Source organism: Homo sapiens, chromosome 2 (assembly GCF_000001405.40).
Source record: "Homo sapiens chromosome 2, GRCh38.p14 Primary Assembly".
Taxonomy (NCBI): Eukaryota; Metazoa; Chordata; class Mammalia; order Primates; family Hominidae; genus Homo; species Homo sapiens.
In genome coordinates, this window is record NC_000002.12 from 19953332 (window position 1) to 19975940 (window position 22609).

The window sequence follows — 22609 nt, forward strand, 5'->3', positions numbered from 1 at the left end:
CCAGAATCCTTGGAAACCAGGGCAAGAAAAAGAAGCTAAGTCCCCAGTTCACCCCACCTAAAGACTTCTTCCATATGTGTGTCTAAAGGCCTGCCTCTCCTCTGGTCACTGATATTGGAATCACCCCACCCTCTTGGGAAAACCTATACCACTAATGTATAGGAATAAACCCTTAGTTAGATCCTTCGATCTCAAGTGAATAATCATATTTTAGTATAGCATATTAACTCTAATCTGGTGGGGAGGGTAAGTGAGGACAGCCATTTCCTTATAAAAACACAGCTTTCCACTCTTTATCTCTAAGGACTTTATTAAACCATTCTACTTCTCTTTTATTTTAATAAATTTAAACACATAAATTTTAAAGATAATCAAATTAATTGAAAAAACATTTCTACTAATCAAGACACTACAGTTATCAAGCATGACAATTTACAATTACTATGTCTGACTTCAATGTGATATGGTTGAGCTACTAAAAAGTATGTATCAAAAGATATACCTTTCTCTCCCTTCTTTTCGAGACCGTGTGATCTGATTAATTTCCAATGCTGTGAGCTTCTTTGCCACACGATATTGCCAGGTATAAAATGCTTCTTTCGAGGCTGCTATCACATGGGTTTTGGTCATTGCAACAAACAATGGTACTGTTAAAAATAACATTAAGATAATTTACAGTTACACAGAATTGCAGAATGCTTGTGCTGCAAAGGCCTTTAGTAATCACGGAGTTCAACCCCTCATTTTATAGACAATATACCCCCACATAGTCTCAAAATACCCATACACAGTCTCTGAAATCAGAAAAGAATCAAAAGCTTGTAGCATCATACAACGATACTAACTCAAAATAAATCAGAGACTCAAATGCTAAAACCATAAACACTTAAAGAAAACTTGGGAATACACCTTTATGACCTTTGGTCAGGCAATAATTGGCTTCTTAGATATGACACCAAAAACACAAATGACAAAAGAAAAATTAGATAAATTAGACTTCATTAAAATTAAAAACATTTGGGCTTCAAAGGACACTATCAAGAAAGTAAAGACAACCCATAGAATGGGAGAAAATATTTGCAAATCGTGTATCTGAAAAGAAATTTTATCTAGAAAATATAAAGAACTCTTACAACTCAATAATAAAGACAAATAGCCCAATTTAAAAGTGAGCAACGGATACAAATAGACATTTCTACAGTGAAGATACACAAATGGCCAATAAGCACATGAAAAAGATGATCAACAACATTAGCCATCAGGAAGTGCAAATCAAAACCACAATGAGATACCACCTCACACCCACTAGGATGGCTAGAATCAAACAGTCAGACAATAACAAGTGTTAGCAAGGTTATGGAGAAATCTGGGAATGTAATATGGTGTGTTCACTTTGGTAAACAGTTCAGCAACTCCTCAAAATGTTAAATACAGAGTTACTATATGCCTCAGCAATTCCACTCCTAGGTATGTACCCAAGAAAAATAAAAACATGTCCACACAAAAACTCATATGCTGATGTTCATAACAACATTATTTATAATGATCAAAAGTAGAAACAACTCAAACAACCATTAATTGAAAAATGAATAAATAAAATCCCAGTCCTTCCTCCCATCCCCACTACCAATTACTACCTGGTTCAGAGTCTCACTCTGTCGCCCAGGCTGGAGTGCAGTGGTGTGATCTCAGCTCATTGCAACCTCTGCCTCCCGGGTTCAAGCAATTCTCCTGCCTCAGCCTCCAGAGTAGCTGAAACTACAGGCACGCACCACCACGCCCAGCTAATTTTTGTATTTTTAGTAGAGACGGGGTTTCACCATGTTGGCCAGATTGTCTCCATCTCTTGACCTCACCATCTGCCCGCCTCAGCCTCCCAAAGTGCTGGGATTACAGGCATGAGCCACCCCGCCTGGCCACATCTTATATTTCTACTCTAATTTAGAAAAGAAAAATCTCCCAAGTCCCTTCCTAAGGAATATATTCTTCTAAACAAATAATTTTTAATATTCCTAATATGTATTGGAAATATATTCTCCTAAGCAAATAATTCTTTTCATCTGCCCATTTCTTAGAGAACATTTAATTGAGCTCCTACTGTATATGCTTTTATGAAGTAGATAGTCTCATCAAATCCATCTTATAGATAAATAAACAGAGGTTTAAAGAAGTAGAACAATTTGCCCAAGGTCACAAAACACAAAATAAACAACATAAAATTAAACACTCATACGAAATACATAAAAGCAAAAAACTCCGTCACAAACAGATTATACTACCTGTTTTCTAAATTCATGAACAATCAAAACAGTGTAAAACTTAATTTCTCTATTATAAATACTATGCAATGTAATCATTAATATGGCCGGAATAAAGACATAACGTTACTAGGAGGTACCATTTATAGAGTTCTTGCCAGAGTGCAGACAAAGGACATTTGAGGCAGCAAGAGACTTAGAAACTGAACAAAGAATTAGAAACTAGTCTGATGGTATGATGTTAATTGAGTGGGTTAACAACTCAGGGATTAAATTCAATAATTTTTATATGCTAAATAACTCAGTCCAACTGAGTAATTTTTTTTTTAATTCTTTTTTCACTGTAACTGTCAAGATTTTTTCATTCAAAATGTGTACTATTACCAACCTCTGGAGGGAGCTCAAAGCCTTTCTTGGAAGGAGCACTTTGCTGAAAGCCAGGCATGGAGACTGACAGCAAAGCCTCCAGGGTGCGCTCCTGCCAGGTCAGGCTGCGCTCTCCTTTCCCTGACCTGGTCTTCACTAAATCTTAAGAATTTTTTAAATATTTAGTAAATTCCACCATGGATACTCTAATGCTGGTAACTATTATGCCCTTAGTGTAATTTGAAGCAAGTTTGCACACCTTAACTGCTTTCTAATAAAATCTCATTTTTTCCTAAGTATATAAAAGCATTCTTCCAACCAATGTTTACCTACAATTATAAATTACACTCATGTTCCTTTCTTTTTGATAGATCCTAAATACTCACAAGGGTTTATCATTAGCCTGATTACTTCAAAATTAAAATGTTAGTGGTTCAAGGTAAGAGTCAGACTTCTTGGATTCAAATGACAGGCACTTGTTAATTCTGTGGCCTTGAATAAATTATTTGTTCTCTCAGTTTACTTACTGTAAGTTGAAAATAATAATAATGCCAACCCTACAGAGCTGTTTGAAAGTTTAAGAGAGATAACAATATAAATATAAATACAATATAAATTATAGCATAGCACAGTGCCTGGCATAGAGTACACGCTTAATAATACTTTTTTTTTTTTTTTTTTTTGAGACGGAGTTTCGCTCTGTCGCCCAGGCTGGAGTGCAGTGGCACGGTCTCGACTCACTGCAAGCTCCGCCTCCCGGGTTCACGCCATTCTCCTGCCTCAGCCTCCAGTGTAGCTGGGACTACAGGCGCGCGCCACCATGCCCGGCTAATTTTTGTATTTTTAGTAGAGACGGGGTTTCACCGTGTTAGCCAGGATGGTCTCGATCTCCTGACCTCGTGATCCGCCCGTCTTGGCCTCCCAAAGTGCTGGGATTACAGGCGTGAGCCACCGCGCCCGGCCAATAATACTTTTAAAAGACAGTATTTATTGAATGTTTAAAAATATGACAGGCAGTGTTCTAAATATATAACACATATTAACTCACAACTTCCCTATAAGGTAGGCGTTATTGTCCTCATTTAGCAGATAAAGAAACTGAGGCATGTGAATTTGCCCATATCACACAGTTAGAAAGTAGTAGAGCTGGACACAAACCTGGTCAATCTGGCTCCAGAAACTGCTCTTAACTACTAGAGCAGACTGACCCTCACTAAGGATTAAGAAGTATTAGTTAGACATGGTTGCTATTGTTCTTTTCACTTTTATCACCTACATAGGATTTTATAATAAAACCATATATAAATTCTCAGTTACTACAAAAAATAGAAATATATCTGAAAAATATGTTCTTTTGAATCAGTAAGGTGGTAATTTCAGCAAATTCATATGGGTAGATAATCCTATCTATACATATTTTGCTAGATCTTTATTAAGATTCATCCCATCTAGACTAAGCTTCTAGGAAAAGCAAAACAAAATCTTAACAGATACAATGTTTTAGGACAAGAACACAGCCAAGATGAAGGCCCTCCATGCCCTTTTTGACTGTTCAATATCTGAAAAGAAAAAAATTTGAAATATCTAGAAAGGTTATTGGATTTTTTTTTTTTTTGAGACGGTGTCTTGCTGTGTCACCCAGGCTGGAGAGCTGTGGCACGATCTTTGCTCAGTGCAACCTCTGCCTCCTGGGTTCAAGCGATTCTCCTGCCACAGCCTCCCAAGTAGCTGGGATTACAGGTGCATGCCACCATGTCTGGCTAATTTTCGTATTTTTAGTAGAGATGGGGTTTTGCCATTTTGGCCAGGCTGGTCTTGAACTCCTGACCTCAGGTGATCTACCCACCTCAGCCTCCCAAAGTGCTGGGATTACAGGAGTGAGCCACCATGCCCAGCTTGGAAAAAAAGTTTTTAAGAAAATAATTATGCTTTCATTAACTGAACTTTGTAATGCTAATAGGCAGTCATTACTAGCCAAGCAAGGATGTAAAATAATTTAAAACAATCTTGGAATTCACATATAAATAAAACCTGCTTGTAATATTTTAATGCTAAGGCATGAAATAAATGCCTACATCTGTAATGTTCACCCACTTTCCCATTTATTCATTTCTCAGCCCTTTCAAGTGCTGGTAAATTGAAATTTCACTGAAATGTTTTCATCAAATTAACTTTCTCTAAAATATATGGAAAACCTAGTGCACGTGTTAGATACCATCATTAGAAAGCTGCCCATGTGCTCCCACTAAAATGGCTGCAGCATAGGCAAACTGGTACTTGATGGCCACTTTCCATGCCTTCATTCCTCTGCAAATGCCGTTTTCTTTCCTTGAAATATCACCTAAAGAAATACTTACTTTTCAAAACTCAGCTCAAATGAAACCTTCTCTAAGTAGAAAGATGTCTCTGATGTCCTTATGCACCAATAACCATTTACCTGGCACCTAGAGCAATACCTAGCACGCAGTAGGGAAGCAATAAATCACTGTTCAATGAATTAACTAGGTTTTAATTATTTGTTCAGAAATCCCACAGGAAATGTCATAATTAATTTCTTATTATTCCCAGTGACCAGTACAGTACCTGAAACAGTATATACTCATTGATAGTTTGCTAAATAAATGAATCATCATTTTTTATTTACATGATAGAAAATAAATAATTTCCATGCATTCAATAAACATTTATTATGGGCCAAGGCAGTGTTAGGTCATGGGGATACAGAAGTTAATTAGACGTAGATCTTTAAGAAGTTCAAAGTCTAGTGGGGAAGATAGACAAGAAAATTAGTAACCACAGTGCAGGTTAAGAGGTATTTTGGATGGAAGCACACCAAAGGTATTATGAGTGCTCAAGAAAAGAACACCAAAAAAGGATACCTAACTCTCATGTGTAGAGTATAACAGAGTCCCACAAACTACACTTCTATAATAATCTATAAAGTTCATTTTAAAGTTTCTACAAAAATTATAAAGAGGAAGAGTAGGTGGCAAAACAAAAATAATAAATTCTAGAAGAGTATCACTCACAGACTTTTTTTATTTTAGCCTCTAGTCCTCATAAACATTTGGCATAGAAACTTTAAAAAAGAAATTTTACAGGATATGTATGAAACAAAAATGTTGAGTCTTTGGCTGTGTTCACTGCAGGCCAATGAAAGAACTGTTTGTTAAAATCTCAGTCAGCAAGACTACAAAAAAAAAAAGTTTTGAGACTCAAAAATACAAATAGTCATGCTCTCAAGTATTTGCCATTTTATGAAGAAGGATTTACATTTAGCTTTATTTTAAAAAAACAGTCTACTTGTGATAAAAATTACTTTGACATTAACCCTATCACCATTATGATTCTATGTTAAAACTTTGGATATTAAAAGAAAAAGCATATAATCTGAAGACTGACAAAATTTACCTCTTAAAGACTGTTAATGCTTCTAATAAACAAGAGATATTTATGTGATGAGAGTCTGTTAATAATTTTAAGCTAAGCTTTTTAACAAGGAACACTAATGTGTATATATATGTGTATATAAATATATACACATATAAAACATATAAACATGCCTATGTAGCAATGAATGTAAGACATGAAGTTGAAATGTGTCAATATATCTAAGTGAGTAGGTTATCAAGACCCTAAGCCATAGAGTATAAAGTCTTTGAGGTCATTATTTCTCATATTTGCTATTATCACCCAAACACTTAGCAATTTTTTCAACAAACACTTAGCAAAATGCAAACACTCAAAAGGCAACAGGCATTAATACTTAATTGCTTAGGCTAAATGTCCAATATGAAAAAAAAATGACTAGTTCTCAGGTTCTCAGGAATAATGCAATGGGTTTTTAATTTCTTAGATTTAATAATTTTTACAATACTGTATCCAATATACTACCATACACATTAAAAGAAAATCATTACTTTTGGAAGTTACAGTGAAATGGCAACAAAATACTTGTTAATGATTTTTAATAATCTACTTAGAATAAGATTTGGAATTTTTAATGGGTTACTTTCATAGTTATTGGGTAGAGGGAATAGTAAATCTAAAGTAACAAAAGTCCTTTGAAAACAAAAAGTCAGGAATTTTTAAAACTGTCCCTATTAATAGACTCATTTCATTAGAAAAATCTGGAAAGGGCAAACTCACTTTTACAAGCAGCCAAAGTGTTTTTATGGAAGAGAGGTATTTACAAGCAGTTTATTAATAATGAAAGTGGTTTAATAGCAAAATTCTTTCTATAATCCTCAGTTTATTACATACTAATCATTACGCTGCATACCAATTCCTACACAATTATATTTCCCATTTAAAGCGAATGATGGTACTATAGCAGTTGTGAAATTATAATGGATTTTAGATAGACTAACCTTATAATTTACTGTCTTAACCAGGATACTTTTGAGAGTAAAATGGGATATTAAGAATTCTACCATGGTAACAGATATAAACTGGTACTGGATCTGACAAAGTAGGAAGTATGGTCATCCTCGTTTTAGAAAACACCATTCTAATTAATAATACCAGTGTTAGGTTTTTAAATTAGTGTTACAAATAAAACCTGATTGGAAAAGAAATAAATATCAACATTTCCTTACCAATATCAATGTATTTGGGATCCAAGGGTGTACCAATAGAATTACAAAGAACTAGTACAAACTGTGAACAAATAAAACAAAAAGTATCAGAACTCCTGCTTATGAATAATAAAGGAAATATGCTTAATATATATCATGCTTATCTCTTTTTCAAGTATTGCTAACTGGGAAATAACTGATGAAACTGTTACGTGCAAAAAATAGCAGACAAAAAGAAAGATGATTTACAGCATTAAATATAAAGAAAGATCAGTTAATACTAAACCAAGGCTGCTTTCTCAATGTAATGGAACACTGTGGTTTTTAAGAAGACACAAGAAACACAAGTACTCTGGCTACTTTTCATCATTTATACAAGGGGTCTTCAAAAAGTTTATGGAAAATGTGTATTATGGAAAAAATAAGCATGGATTTAAAAATTGTTTGCATCAAAATAAACGTGCACTAACTTGTTAAAACATGTTTGAACAGGATCTAGTTTGAAGCACTAAGAAGGAGATGGCAGCAGTTTGAAAAAAAGCCCTGTCAAAGAAACATTAATTCTGCTAAAATTGAAGCAAGAAAAAACATCAAATTTATGGTGCAGCTTGGGTGGAAGAATGGTGAAATCATCAATCCTTTATGAAAAGTTTATGGGGACAATGCCCTAAAGAAATCAGCAGTCTACAAAAGGACAACTCACTTTAAGAAGGGACAAGACAAAGTAAAGATGAAACCTGCAACAGCAGACCATCCATGTCAATTTGCAAGGAAAAAATGAATCTCATCTTGTTTCTGCCCTAATTGAAGAGGACTAACAATTAACAGCAGAAACAATAGTCAACACTATAGACATCTCAACTGGCTCAGCTCACACAATTCTGACTGAAAAATTTGAGTTAAGCCAACTTTCCACTCAATGGGTGCCAAATCCGTTGCACCCAGATCAGCTGCACACAGGAGCAGAGCAGTAAATGGAAATTTCAAACAGGTGGTATCAAGAACCTGAGGCATTTCTTCAAAAATTGCAAAAGGAGATGAAACATGGCTTTGCCTGTATGATCCTGAATGCAAAGCACAATCAAAGCAATGGTTACCAAGTGGTGGAAGTGGTCCAGTCAAAGCAAAAGCAGACCGCCAAGAGCAAAGGTCATGGCGACAGTTTTGGGGGATGCTCAAGGCATTTTGCTTGTTGACTTTCTGAAGGGCCAAAGGACAATAATGTCCACTTACTATGAGAATGTCTTGAGAAAGTCAGCCAAAGCTTTAGCAGAAAAATGCCTGGGAAAACTTCACCAGAGTCTCTCCCCACCATGACAATGCTCCTGCTCATTCTATTCATCAAACAAGGGCAATTTTGCTAGAGTTTTGGCGGGAAATCATTAGGCATCCATCCACTTTACAGTCCTGATTTGGCTCCAGACTTCCTTTTGTTTCCTAATCTTAAAAAATCCTTAAAGGGTACCCATTTATCTTTAGTTAATAATGTAAAAAAGACTGCATTGACATGGTTAAATTCCCAGGACCCTCAGTTCTTTAGGGATGGACTAAATATCTGTTATCATTGCTTACAAAAATGTCTTGACCTTGATGGAGCTTATGTTGAAAAATAAAGTTTCTATTTTTATTTTTATCTGTTAATTCCATTTTTCCATGAACCTTCTGAAGTCCCCTCATATTGCTACAGTTTCTGATCAGCTATAACCTCAAAACTCATTTTTATCCTATGATCAGCTATATAAGAGCTAATTTCATTTGTTACCGTTGCACCAAATGTCTCCATCTCGTTCTCCTCCTTTGAAGCAATATATAAATGACAGGAGAAATTCAGAAAAATTCAGTTAACTCAAAAAAGACATGACTCAACCTAATGAAAGTGGCTTATATACAAATAATCATCAATGACCAATATTAGGAAAATAATCAAACGTAATGCACATTTTACATCACATTGTTTTAAAGTGATCATTTCATTTTTCTTACTGTTAGTCTCTGTTTCTGTATCTTGTACTAAGAATACTATTCTACTTAGATGTTTTTCCTGACTAGAACAACAATTTCAAATAAAGCAGTTCTTTATGTGCTATTTACACAGACTTTTTCTTTTTTCAGCATTCGATTAAAATTTGTTTAATTACTCAAAACATCTCAGGTACCCCATAGATAACATACGTCTACTATTACCCATAACATTTAAAAAAAAATAAAAAGAACTCATTGAATTAATTTCATAAATATAAACCAAATAATAAAAATCATATTTTAAAAAATCATAATTTACTCTTCCACTACTTAAAATAAGCTTATTTACTGCCACAAAATACCACAAATTGTATTTTTAATATATTTTTCATTTTTATCAGTTATACATGCTAGTAGTTCCAAAAATCAAATAGATCCACAAGGCTTCTTACTAAAAAATGGCAGTTCCCCCTAAGTTCCCATTTCCTGCTCCCTTTACCGATCCTTTTGCTATTACCTCCACAAATCTAAGTAACGTGTTTATACTGCTACTTGTTTTATTTCAATTTAGTCCATTAGCTCTTGCCTCCCCACTACAAATGACAAGTCTTTAGCTTTCTTTCATTCCCTTTTCCACCCCACCCCTACCACACAGGGGCACCTTTCCATCCCTCTCTCTATTTTTAATACCATTTTGTCGGATCAGAATTTAGGGTTCAGTATGTTTATTATACTTCAATTAAAAGGTGTTTTAAGTTTAAAAAGGGTGATTACATCATTTTGACTATGTAAATGCTATTCACAACTCAGCCATCAAGTGTATCATGATTTATTTTCTTTTCAAGCACATTCTGCTTTCTCTGTAGTCGATAATTGTATTTTTTCTCTTTGATTAGTCTTCTATGGGCTTATTACTAACACAAATCCCCAATTATCCCTGAATTATGTATATCTTGCTGCAAGGGCTCAAATATGTCAGGTAGTCTATTGTTATCCCCTTAAATTTCTCTTGGAGCCTTCTGACCTCTCATCTGACTCACTGGACACACTGCACCATGGTCAGCTGGTACTTTCTTCCTCACTGGTGTCCACTCTACTGTTTCTTCTGCTTTCTTGGTTTATTCCTCATTTTGTTAGACTATTTCCTAAAGTAACTTCCTAAGATAGGGAAGCTTGGAAGGGAAATTTTTAGTGAGTTACACATCTAAAAATGTCTGTATTCCACCCATTTATTTATTTATTTATTTATTTATTTATTTACTTACTTTGAGACAGAGTCTCACTCTGTCGCCCAGGCTGGAGTGCAGTGGCACATCTCGGCTCACTGCAGCCTCTGCCTTCAGGGTTCAAGCGATTCTCCTGCCTCAGCTTCCCAAGTAGCTGGGATTACAGGCACCCGCCACCACACCTGGCTAATTTTTGTATATTTAGTAGAGATAGGGTTTTGCCATGTTGGCCAGGCTGGTCCCAAACTCCTAACCTCAGGTGATCTGCCCACCTTGGCCTCCCAAAGTGCTGGGCTACCCTCATATTTAATTAGTAGTTGACTTACAGCTATGGAATTCTAGTTGGAAAACTATCCCTGCAAATTTTGAGGCAATTCTCCAAACCATTGCTGTTGACAAATAGAATGCCACTTATGATCCTTGACGTTATGAAATCTGTTTTTCCTCCCTGAAAGCTTGTAAGATTGTTTTCTCCCCAATGTTCTGAAATTCTACAATGATGTGTCTCAATGTGGAAATGTTTTTATTCACTGAGCTAGGCACTTCCAATCCAGAACGTCAAGGAAAATTTTCTTGAATTTTTTTTTCATACTTACTGCCCTGTATTTTGTATATTTTGCCTGTTCACTCTTTTTTTTTCTTTTTTCTTTCTTTTCTTTTCTTTTTTTTTTTTTTTCTTTGGAGACAGAGTCTTACTCTGTCTCCCAGGCTGGAGTGCAGTGGCGTGATCTCGGCCCACCGCAACCTCCGCGTCCTGGGTTCAAGCAATTCTCCTGCCTCAGCCTCCTGAGTAGCTGGGACTACAGGCACACGCTGCCACGCCCGGCTAATTTTTTCTATTTTAGTAGAGACAGGGTTTCACCGTGTTGCCCAGGCCGGTCTCGAACTCCTGAGCTCAGGTAATCTGCCCACCTCGGCCTCCCAAAGTGGCCTGTTCACTCTTTTTAGAAATATTATTGAAATGCTAAGCTTCCCGGACTGGTCCTCTAATTTTATCTTTTCACCCCTATTTTCCATTTCCTTGTCCTTTTGCTTCACTTTACAAGTGTTTTCCTTCATTTTACCTTCTAATCCTCCAGCCAAAGTTTTCATTATGGTTATCCTATTTTTAATTTCCAAAAACTTCCTCTTCTATAGTATCCTTTTCTTATTTTATGGATGTAATATCTCTTAACTCTCTGAAGGTAATATTAATGGTTCTTTCAAAATAATTTTTTTTTTTTGAGACAGAGTCTCACTTTCGCCCAGGTTGGAGTGCAATGGCACGATCCTGGCTCACTGCAACCTCTGCCTCCCGGGTTCAAGCGACTGTCCTGCCTCAGCCTCCCGAGTAGCTGGGTTTACAGGCTTGCGCCACCATGCCCAGCTAATTTTGTATATTTAGTAGAGACAGGGTTTCACCATGTTAGCCAGGCCGATCTCGAACTCCCGACCTCAGGTAATCCGCCCGCCTTGGTCTCTCAAAGTGCTGGGATTACAGGTGTGAGCCATCGCACCCAGCCCCAAAATAATGTTTTTCAGACGTGTCCTTCCTGCACAGTCTCTGCTTCTTCCAAGTTCTTTTCCACTTGTGTTTAGATGGCTTTCTCAAATGTCTGGCAATCCTTGTCTAACTGCTTATATTTAAGAGTCAGACATTGAAAAGCTGTTCGGAACAGAGTTGTCTATAAGTGAGCCTCACTGACTGGCGTCTTTACTGTAAGGTGATGGGCAGGGCTATTTCCCTGGGGACTCTCAATCTCAGTATCTTTAGAAGGCTTTTCTCTTGAACAGGTCGAATTCTCCTGAGAAGATTTCCAAACTCCCACCTCAAAGCTCAATGCTTGGCTGCCAGTGTTCTGGGAACCAAATAGGAAAAGAAGACTTGGGTAATGTTGAGTAGCAAACTTTTAACGTAATTGTCCTGTTTTCAGCAGAGTTCCCCCACCCTCAGCTCTGCTTGATGCTCTTCAGCGCAGAGACTCTTTGATCCTCTCTGGAGAGTAAACCCCAGTCGTTGTAGGTGGCAGAAGGGCAGCTGCCTGTGGACTCAGTATAGGGGAGTGGGATCTCCTTCTTCTTAAAAAAAGTTTTCTCTTTTCTGCATAATCTCTGGTACTTCCAAATTGCTTTTATGTTTGTTTCTTTCTCCCACCAGGTACCCCCAAGTCCTGTGCCTCTTTGGGATTCCGTGATCTAAGCCAGTTGCCTCTGTTTTCTCCCTGAATGGCTTATGATTCAGCTTTCTTAGGTCTGCTAAGGTAATTACCGCTAATCCACCTACTCTAACCTACAAAATGTTGTTGCCATTTCCTTTCCCTTTCTGGTCCCTATGGGCTTATGACTTTTTAAAAAATACCTTTACGATTGTTTAGCAAGTTTCAGGAGAGAACACCAGCAAACATGGCTGTTCAAAGAGTCACCTTTAACAAAAAACTCTATACTTTTTAATGGGGTAAAATAATTGATAACACAGCCAAAGATATTGGTAGTCCTTTTCAGAAATATTTACATACTTCTGCAAATATTTAAGTTGTTAGTATACTTTTTAAAAAGACATATTTATATTATTTATGTTATGCTATGATACATTAATTTTAAAAGCAATATAACTCCAAAGTAGATTTCTCAATGTCAAAAGCTACCCAAACTGTCTCAAGTGTTCATTGCTGCATAATTTCTTCAGCATTTATGCATAGTAGACATCTGGATGTTCATTTTTGCTCATGAAATTTTAATTTGAAAAGGGATTGCGGTATTTTAAATATATTTCAGAAACAAAAAGCTTCAGTATTAAACCAGTCAGTATGAATTGCCATAAGATTAGCTGCTTGAAGAAAAAAAAAATCAGGGACACAGCATCAATGGAGTCACAGAGTTTTCCAAAATTGGTCTAGACCAATAGTGCCAACAGACCCAATGTTTTGATGTACTTGCCAGTGTAGAGGCCATGCTTGAAAAGGTAGAAAACTATAACCCAAGCAGTTAGCCCAGCTATGTCTTAAGATATCAAGAAACACCTACCTGAGGATGATTTTCATCAGCTTTTGTAGCCAAAATGCAGAAATCTCCACAGGTAGTAATAGAAATGAGACCCTTCACATATTTAACATATTTTTCATTGTTTTTCGTATCCCAGAAGACAACACAATATTCTGGACGATCAGGTCTGGTATATGCATAAACTACAGTGTTTGAGCAATAACCCCACTAGGAAGAAAGGAAGGAGGAAAGGGAAGGAGATTGAAAGGGAGAAGAATTATTTAGTATTGGGAAGGCAAATCACATTATTTTATTTTTACTCTCAAAATATTGCAGATATTTATCACTGCTGACAAAATATATTCTTCAGAAATAGAAGACAGATTCAACCTTTTATAAAAATAATAGAGATTTATAAAACAAAGAATGTGCTGCAAATATAAATTTAGTTTGTCTAACTTTCCTTATTTTAATTGGTAAGATTTAAGCTTCAATGGTAAAAATTTTCAATAATCAATAATAACTGCTGGAGAGGGGACAACAGGTAGCGTGATCCCTGTCAAAGTTTCAATTCTGGATCTCCAAGTCGAAATTCAAAAATAGTCACTTTGCCTTTTTACCCCCATCCATATTTTTTATATTTGCTTTTATCAGAGTAACATATTCACATAATATATGGTCAAATAATCCTACCTGGCTTATTTAAAACAAAAACAAATGTAGAACCCCCTGCCAAATTTCCTCTCTCTAGAATGGTCGTGTACAACTACTTTAACTGCAACTGTTCTGGTGTTTATTTCTGTATCACATTATCTATTGATTATGGAACTTACACACTTACAGCTTTCCCTTCTAACTCTCCCAACATGTTTATATTTAATTTTGAATAAAAAAATAAAAATACATAAATTATATTAAAAATATAAAAATGAAATAAAATATCATGTTGATATTATCATGATTGTGTTTACCATTCAAACAAACTAAGCTAAACCATGTTTAGCTTTTTGTATCCTGATTACTTTCTAAAATAAGTTTTTTTACTTTAAAATAGTTTTAGATGGACAGAAAAGTTGCAAAGATAGCACAGAGTTCCCATATACTCCTCATCCATTTCCCTTATTGTTAACATTTTACTTTACCATGGTACATTTGTCACAACTAGGAAATCAACATCACTATTAACTATATTACTATTACTATTAAGTAAACATCATACTTTATTTAGATTTCATTATCTTTTCCAGAATGTCCTTTCACTATTCCAGAATCCCATTTGGGATACTTAGATTTAGTCATGTCTCCTTAGGCTCCTCTGGGGTGTGACAATTTCTCAGTCTTTCCTTGCTTTTCATGACCTCAACAGTTTTGAGGAGTACTGGTCAAGTATTTTGTAGATTGTCCCTCAATTTGGGTTTGTCTGATGTTTTCCTCATGCTTAGATTGGACTTCAGGTTTTTAGGAAGACTAGCACAGAACCGAAGTGCACTTCTTTATCATGCCATATCAGGGGGCATGTGATAGCCACATGACATTCCTAATGATGTTAACCTTTATCACTTGGCCAAGGTGTGATTGACAAGTTTCACCAATATAAAGCTACTTTTTTTCCCCTCTCCATACTCTACTCTTTGGAAACTAAGTGTAGCCACACTCAAGCCAGGGGAACAGGGGCCTATGTTCCACCTCCTGGAGAAGGCAATACCTAAGTAAACTGGAATAATTCTGTAAGGAAGATCTGTTTCTCCTCTCCCATTTATTTATTTATTCAAATAATCCATCTATATCAGCATCAACTCTTGGGCATTTATACTTTGGGTCACAATAAAATAATACATCATTTATTTTATTATTCAAAGTGCTCCAGCTTTGGCCATTGGGAGGCTCTTTCAGCAATGTCCTTTTGACATTTCCCCATCCTTTTGTTGTCTGAGCACTTCCTTACTTGCTGGGACTATAAACTGTTCCAGGCTTACCTTGTATTTTCCCTGCCCTAGTCCTAGAATCAGCCATTTCTCTAAGGTCCTTTACCTTTTCAAAATTAAATATATAAGATTTTTATAACAAATAGTTTACCAGGTCAATCTCACATTTGAGAGCTTGCTTTTGGATCAAATGTTAAATTCAAGATAAAATACTGATTATATGTTATGTTGCTTATTCTCATTTTCTCCTTCTAATCCATTCTCTGCCCTTCTCTACCCTGCCGTGAGCCTTGGAGACTAGTTTCTACGAACTCCGTCACCTGGGCTACCTGGCCATCTGGCTCCCCTTTGGGTTTGGCCAATAGAAAGCACCAGCAAGTGGAGAGGTGAGTTGGAATATTTATTCCCCAAATCCCTCTCTGCCTGGCTGGTTGGCAGGGTCTGGGCTCCTGCAGAGCAGACCCTCTTGCACAGCCACAGCTCTTGTGGGTTCCAGGAGCCTGACTCCCTTGTCTTGCCCCTTCAGGCCCAGGGCTGGTGATGGCTTCTCATTGACGCTAATCTTTGGGTGGTACTTTTTATCATCCCTTACTGTTCCCTTTAGCCCTGCCCACATCTCTGTAATAAGCCCTTCATCAATCTCTCTTCAATTACTCCTTTGAGTGTACCATCTGTTTCTGGCTAAGACTCATGGAGTAATTTTACTAACTATATATAGTATTCTAGAAAAGTTTACTAGTTCTAAAATCTTCACACAAAAAGGCTTCCTTTCTGCTAGCTCCTAAAACAAGACAGCTTTGAATATACTTTGAGCTATAGCAAAATTATTTAGTAAGAAACACTGTTTATTTTACAACTGCTCTTAATATTTACCTTATAATTAGGTCGAATGTTTGCAAAATATATAAAGGAATCAACAGCTAGTGCAATTTTCAGTCCACCTCCTTCCCAAGATAGTGCAGATATTTCCTTTCCAGGAACTTTCAAAGTACCCAGATGCTGAAAAAGAAAGTTATCTTTAACCTAAAGTATAACAATTAACTGAAATACAAATTACCACCAATCACTTCACAGAGATCAAAAGTGGTATGAACATTATTTTGTGAAAAGTTACTAGTCACTTTAAAATCATGTTTCTTGAATTTTTTTTTTTTTTTTTGAGACGGAATTTCTCACTCTCACCCAGGCTGGAGTGCAGTGGCGTGATCTCGGCTCACTGCAAGCTCCGCCTCCCAGGTTCACGCCATTCTCCTGCCTCAGCCTCCTGAGTAGCTGGGACTACAGGCGCCCGCCACCACGCCAAGCTAATTTTTTGTATTTTTAGTAGAGACAGGGTTTCACTGTGTTAGCCAGGATGGTCTCGATCTCCTGACTTCATGATCTGCCTGCCTCGGCCTCCCAAACTGCTGGGATTACAGGCGTGAGCCACCGCACCCAGCCACGTTTCTTGAATTTTTATAATGAAAAACATGCATATAAGAAAAATTTACAAACTATATCCAAAGAATTCAATAGCAAATTTCATCAAATCTAAAATGCCATAGACTGAAACATGAATTTTTATGTACAACTAAGGAAAGGAAAAAACACATTGCTAATTAAAATATGGCAACTTTGATTATAAGATGCCTCCTCATTTTAAAGTTGTAAAAAATTATATTTCTTAGAATCAATGAAATATTTTATTAGCAAATTCAATCATAAAGTCTTGTCTTTCTCTTTCATCCCCTCACAACCAACGAGTCACCAAGTCCTACTGCTTTTACTCCTTTCCACTCTCTACAATTACCTTTTTAATGGACTGCATTGTGGTAATAGCTTCCTAACTTTATATCTTACTTTTCATCTGTTTCCTTATTCTCCCCCTCTGCCCTCCCAATTCAATCTATACTCTGCTGTCACAATTATCTTTCTGGAACACAGATCTAATCATAACCTACCCTGCTTTTTAAAAGGTTTAATAACTTTTAAAAATCAGTAAATCCCCACCATCACATTCTTTAGCATGGCATACAATGCCTTTTTCCCATCTTGTCCAAAATCATATTATGTGGCTTAATATCCCACTATTTAGCCATAACTGCTGTGTGCCTGCTCGTGAAGGAACTACTCTGCCTCCACAGCTTTGGCCTATACAATATCCCTTCTGCCTGAAATCCCCCTCTTCTTTCCTCACAGCTCCCCTATCCTTACTGGTCCTTGTCCTCCTGGAGCACGCCTATTCATCCATCAAGATACAGCTCAAATACTGCTTCCTCAACGAGTCCTGCCTTCTTCCCCCATTCTATGGTTCCAGAGAATTACAGAATGAGCTCCTTAAGAGTACTAACTGTATCATATTCACATTTCTTTCCCTTTCCATTAATAGATTATTTGATAAACTGATAGTCAATATATATCTTCAATAAATATACATTCAAATTTTTTTAATTTAAAATTTAAAATAAATAAACAGTACTTTTTATGACCAAATTAACGAGTGAATAAATGAATACAAACACTTTTTTAATGTGGCTATAAGGCAATCGAACATTTTTAATCTATATCTTTTATTTGACAGAATGATAGAATCCCCAAAATTTCAATGAACTTTACTGGTATCCCTTGTTCTAAGCAGATACCCTCTAGGGTCAAATTTAATGTTACTATAGTTTGAATGTCTGTCCCCTCCAAAACTCACATTGAAATGTAATTGCCATTTTGACAGTATTAAGAGATGAGACCTTTAAGCAGTGATCAGGGCATGAGGGCCCTCATGGCTGGGACTACTGCCATTATACAAAGGGGAATTAGGTCCCCTCTTGTCTCTCTGTTGCACTCTCTTTGCCCTTCTTCCTTCCACCATGAAATTATGCAGCAGAAAAGCCCTCACCAGATGTCAGTAGCTCAATACTGGACTTCTCATTCTCCAGAACTGTGAGCCAATAAGTTTCTGTTAATATATACTATGCAGTCTGTGGTATTCTGTCATAGCAGCACATAATAGAGTAAGACAAATGTATTGAGCTCCATTTTCCCAAGGAAACCAATGGAAGAAAAAAACTCAAAGTTTTAACCTAGGAGGGTCTGATCTATCTGTCTTGCTACCTGTATGAAATTAAAGGTGAACCAGCAAGCCCTCTACAGTACTCTTGGTATTGACCCATCCATAAGAGGAGGAGAATACGACCATCTTCTAACTGCAAACCAGCCAGGATGTGGCAGCAGCAAGGAAAGAAAACCACCTTTTAGTAAGCCCTCATTACATGCCAGGCACTGTGTAGGCATTTCCTCATTGTAATCTCCTTTAATCTTTACAACAGCACCATGACGTATTTCCTTTATTTCTGAAAATAACTAAACTGTGTCTCAGAGGCTAAATAACTTCTCTACGTCAAACTACACTGTGGAAAATGAATTCAATACCAGATCAACTTGACTACAAACCCTATGCTCTGTTATCTCCTACCATGGCTAAGACCACAGTGCAAAACCCAGGAGCCCCTGGCCCTCAGAATTTAAAAGCAAATTCTTCTCTGAGGTTTTCTTAAGTTTAAATCATTAAGTTTAAATTGTTAGATAACTTCCATCCAGGTTATCTTTCCTACCTTAACAATAACACAGATCCAAATAATTCCCCATATATTCACTCACTCAGAAAATACTGACTACTATGACCTGAGGAACTATGCTAGATACTTTTAGTTACAGCTAAACCAAACCCCACTTACAGTTTTCCGTTTAACACTTAACACATTGTTTTGCAAGACAAACAAACAGACTTTAGAACCCATGTTTTTCTACCTGGGGAAGGCTGAACTAACAAAAATAAGCAGATAAAACATTATGATAAATAAGTAAATGGCAACCAACAAAAATAACCAATAAAGAACAAGAATTAAGAAGGAGGCTATAAATATAGAAATAATTAGAATGCAGATTTTTAATTATTTAGGAACCTTGAAAACTATGCTTTTTTTTTTCCTTCACTTTTACATCTACGAGAAATATTGTCGTTTGACAATGTATAGAGAGCATCTACGTTCTACAGTATATTCTACTGGGTAACTTTGAGATACTGATTCAAAAGCATCAGAAGACATCATTTCTTGCCCTAAAAGAAATTATTAAAATATATAAAAATAACATTAAAACAACTGGTATAGGCTTTTATGCAGCCAAAAATATATATCACTGTAGTCTATGGCGAATTTATAAAAGCCAACAGGGTATTCAAAAGGGACAAAATATAGTACTGGGTTAGAAAATAAGACATTCAAAAAACGTATTAAGCTTAGTTATTAATAAGCTCTCACTTTCTAAATTCTTTAAAATTCACAATATATTAATTCTCCTACTTGACATTTTCCAATGCTACTTCTGAAAATTCTTTTAAAATTAAATTTATTAAAAATACTATTGAGAAGGATAATACTCATATGTACATTTATGAAAACAATGCTTTTATTTTAATGTAGCATCACCTAAGATTAATTATTAAATTTTCTTCAAATAACTGATTACTTTGCAACAAATTAAAAGTATTAGAAGTTTGAAGGAAGGACAGACAGATATGTATGTTTAACATCTAAACACATTTAAAATATCACATTAAAAATCAGAAAAATTAATCTGAAACAACTATATTATACTAAATACTACTCAAAAGCTGGCTATGAAAAGAGACACATATTCAGATCACAGAGAAAATATTCAAAATAACTACTCCATGGTGATTTCTTATGTTAAACTTCTGGTTTTCTGAATGTATAAAATTGTAATTTTTATTTTATAATTATAAAACTATAAGATTATAAAATTCCATGATAAAATACAACAAAGATTTATACTATGAAGATGAAATGTCCCTAAAAGAAAATGTGATAAGTTTACACCGTTTCCTTTGTTATTTTTTCCTCTACCTTACTCACTGCACATTTAAATAGAAAGAAAGAAGATCAATTTGAATGCATTTACCTCACCAAACGGAGTGTAAAACTGCACAATGTTCACATCTTTGTCCTGCATGGCTGCCTTCTGGAAGCCTGCCACAGCTAACACGCTGCCCATGTGGTTCCACTGGATGCCTACTACGTACATGCCAGTGTCAATCAAAACGGGATCTAGTCAGAAAGAGAAAAATGAGGTCACTGTGGGAAAATACGTAGCCTAGAGAACTTTATAATCTTAAGAACAACTTTTAAACATTTTTAAAACTTTCCACATTTTTAAAAAAACAGGGCTGGGTACAACGGCTCACGCCTATAATCCCAACACTTTAGGAGGCTGAGGCGGGCGGATCACTTGAGTCCAGGAGTTCAAGATCGGCCTGGGCAACATGGTGAAACCCTGTCTCTACGAAAAATACAAAAATTAGCTGGAGGAGTTGGTGCACACCTGTGGTCCCAGCTCCTCAGGAGGCTGAGACCTTGAGCCTGGGAGGCCAAGGCTGCAGTGAGCCAAGAACGCACCACTGCACTCCAGCCTCGGCAACAGAGCAAGACCCTGTCGCAAAAAAAAAAAAGTTAAAAATTAGAAATTGAGGCCGGGCACAGTGGCTCACGCCTGTAATCCCAGCACTTTGGGAGGCTGAGGCAGGTGGATCACGAGGTCAGGAGATAGAGACTATCCTGGCTAACAGGGTGAAACCCCGTCTCTACGAAAAATATAAAAAATTAGCCAGGCATAGTGGCACGCCCTGTAGTCCCAGCTACTCGGGAGGCTGAGGCAGGAAATTCGCTTGAACCCGGGAGGCAGAAGTTGCCGTGAGCCAAGATCGTGCCACTGCACTCCAGCCTGGGCGACAGAGTGAGACTCCATCTCAAAAAGAAAAAAAAAAAAATAGAAATTAAAAAAATTTTTTAAACAGAAAAATTCCTTACTTTGGTCATTCTCATGTCTCATTATTTGGCATCTTCCATTATCAAAGCAAACAGCAAGGCAAGGGCAATCAGGCTCCACGTAGCCTTCTGTGCCATGGTACCAATGAATTCCAGCAATGCTGATAGCTCCAGTGACATTCACCAAACAACTCAGTTTCATTTTTATCTAAATAAAATTGGTTAGGTTTAATATTTTACATTTTAAAACACAGCAGTATAGAGACAATACTCAATAGAGTATTGTAGAAAGAACACTGAAAAATACAGTCTAAAAATCAGGTGGCAAATTAAAGCTTAATCACTTACTGGTATACAGGCCATGGACAAATCACCTAAATGTCCATTTTCCCCACATGTAAAAAATGAGGATTAAAAAACACTGAGTTTTTATGAGACTCAAACAACAAGTATATAAAAGTACTTTGAAAACAGCAAAATGACATAAAAGTTCATTATTTTACTTCCACCAGTGAGTGGATTTACTTAATGTCCTAACCCTTGCTAAAAAACAAAACTGCCCCACCAGTAATCATACATCTATGATAGCTAAACCTTGCAAAGCCAGAATTTTTCTCCAGATTATGCTGCCTGATCCTATTCTATTTTACCTTCTTTCCAGGGATTGATTTTTCTCACTTACCATTTAAGTCTGTCATTCTTTTTACAAACAACCATTGGTAGCTTGCTACAAAAATACCCTGTGGTATCTACATGTAAACTTTGGCTTCAGACACCAGAAGACACCTATAAAACTTAAACTGCACATCGCCCTACTCATTATCTCTCTGCTTAAATGCACTGACACCTCGTCCTTTCTACCTACCAAAAAAAATTGGAACTAAAAGCTACACTCGAACTTGTTGCACTAATTTGCCTTGAGAAAACCAAAATTTTATTTAATTAAAACAAAATTTAGACGATTGGGAAAAAGAAAAAAAATCTGAATTGAAGACTTTAATTACACAAACCGCCATAAAAAATAAATGTATATACAAACATGAATGATATGTACGATAATCATATAAAATTGTATAAACAAGACTGATGCATACACTTACTTACCATAAAATTTCCTTGATTATCGTAAATGTGTATTTCCCCATTTGCCATTCCAAAAAGTAAGACTTTACTGTCCGCAGACCATGTTACATGGGATAGCTGTATACCCTTCAGGTCTTTTCCCCAAATACGATTGCCTAAAACAAAACATTATTAAAAGTTGTTCAAGGTCATGATCCTCCAACAACGGCTTTCGAAATCTTTGTTTTTCTAAAGATCTCACAAATTCTTCACAGCATTCATGCATTCATTCAATTTATTTGGCCAATAAATATTTACTGAGCACCTATATGTGCCTGAAAAGACATCTGAAATAGCAGCTGTTTCAACCTTTCTCCCCTTTCTTCTAAACTCTGATGCTGGATCTCACTCCCAATTAGCAGTTGAGCCCATCTTCTATTTTGGAAAGAAAAT

The 22609-nt window shown here is 36.3% G+C and overlaps 1 protein-coding gene across 6 annotated transcripts in view; it reads right to left on the minus strand.

Annotated features, from left to right (window-relative positions):
- WDR35 (WD repeat domain 35) overlaps positions 1 to 22609 on the minus strand; it is a 79843-nt gene that overhangs the window by 43069 nt on the left and 14165 nt on the right. For 4 of the 6 annotated variants that reach the window (XR_426989.4, XR_939699.4, NM_020779.4 and 1 more), the window contains exons 6-12: positions 22199 to 22332; positions 21137 to 21302; positions 20232 to 20377; positions 16149 to 16274; positions 13393 to 13578; positions 7223 to 7283; positions 503 to 647 (exon numbers count right to left, since the gene is read on the minus strand). Coding sequence is in view for 4 of the 6 variants with exons in the window: in NM_020779.4 (NP_065830.2) it covers positions 503 to 647; positions 7223 to 7283; positions 13393 to 13578; positions 16149 to 16274; positions 20232 to 20377; positions 21137 to 21302; positions 22199 to 22332 (964 nt within the window). In the remaining 2 variants the exon portion in view is untranslated. Of the gene's footprint in view, positions 1 to 502; positions 648 to 7222; positions 7284 to 8963; positions 8997 to 13392; positions 13579 to 16148; positions 16275 to 20231; positions 20378 to 21136; positions 21303 to 22198; positions 22333 to 22609 lie in introns of those variants that run through there. The other 2 variants (NM_001006657.2, XM_011533007.3) reach the window with 2 other exon arrangements.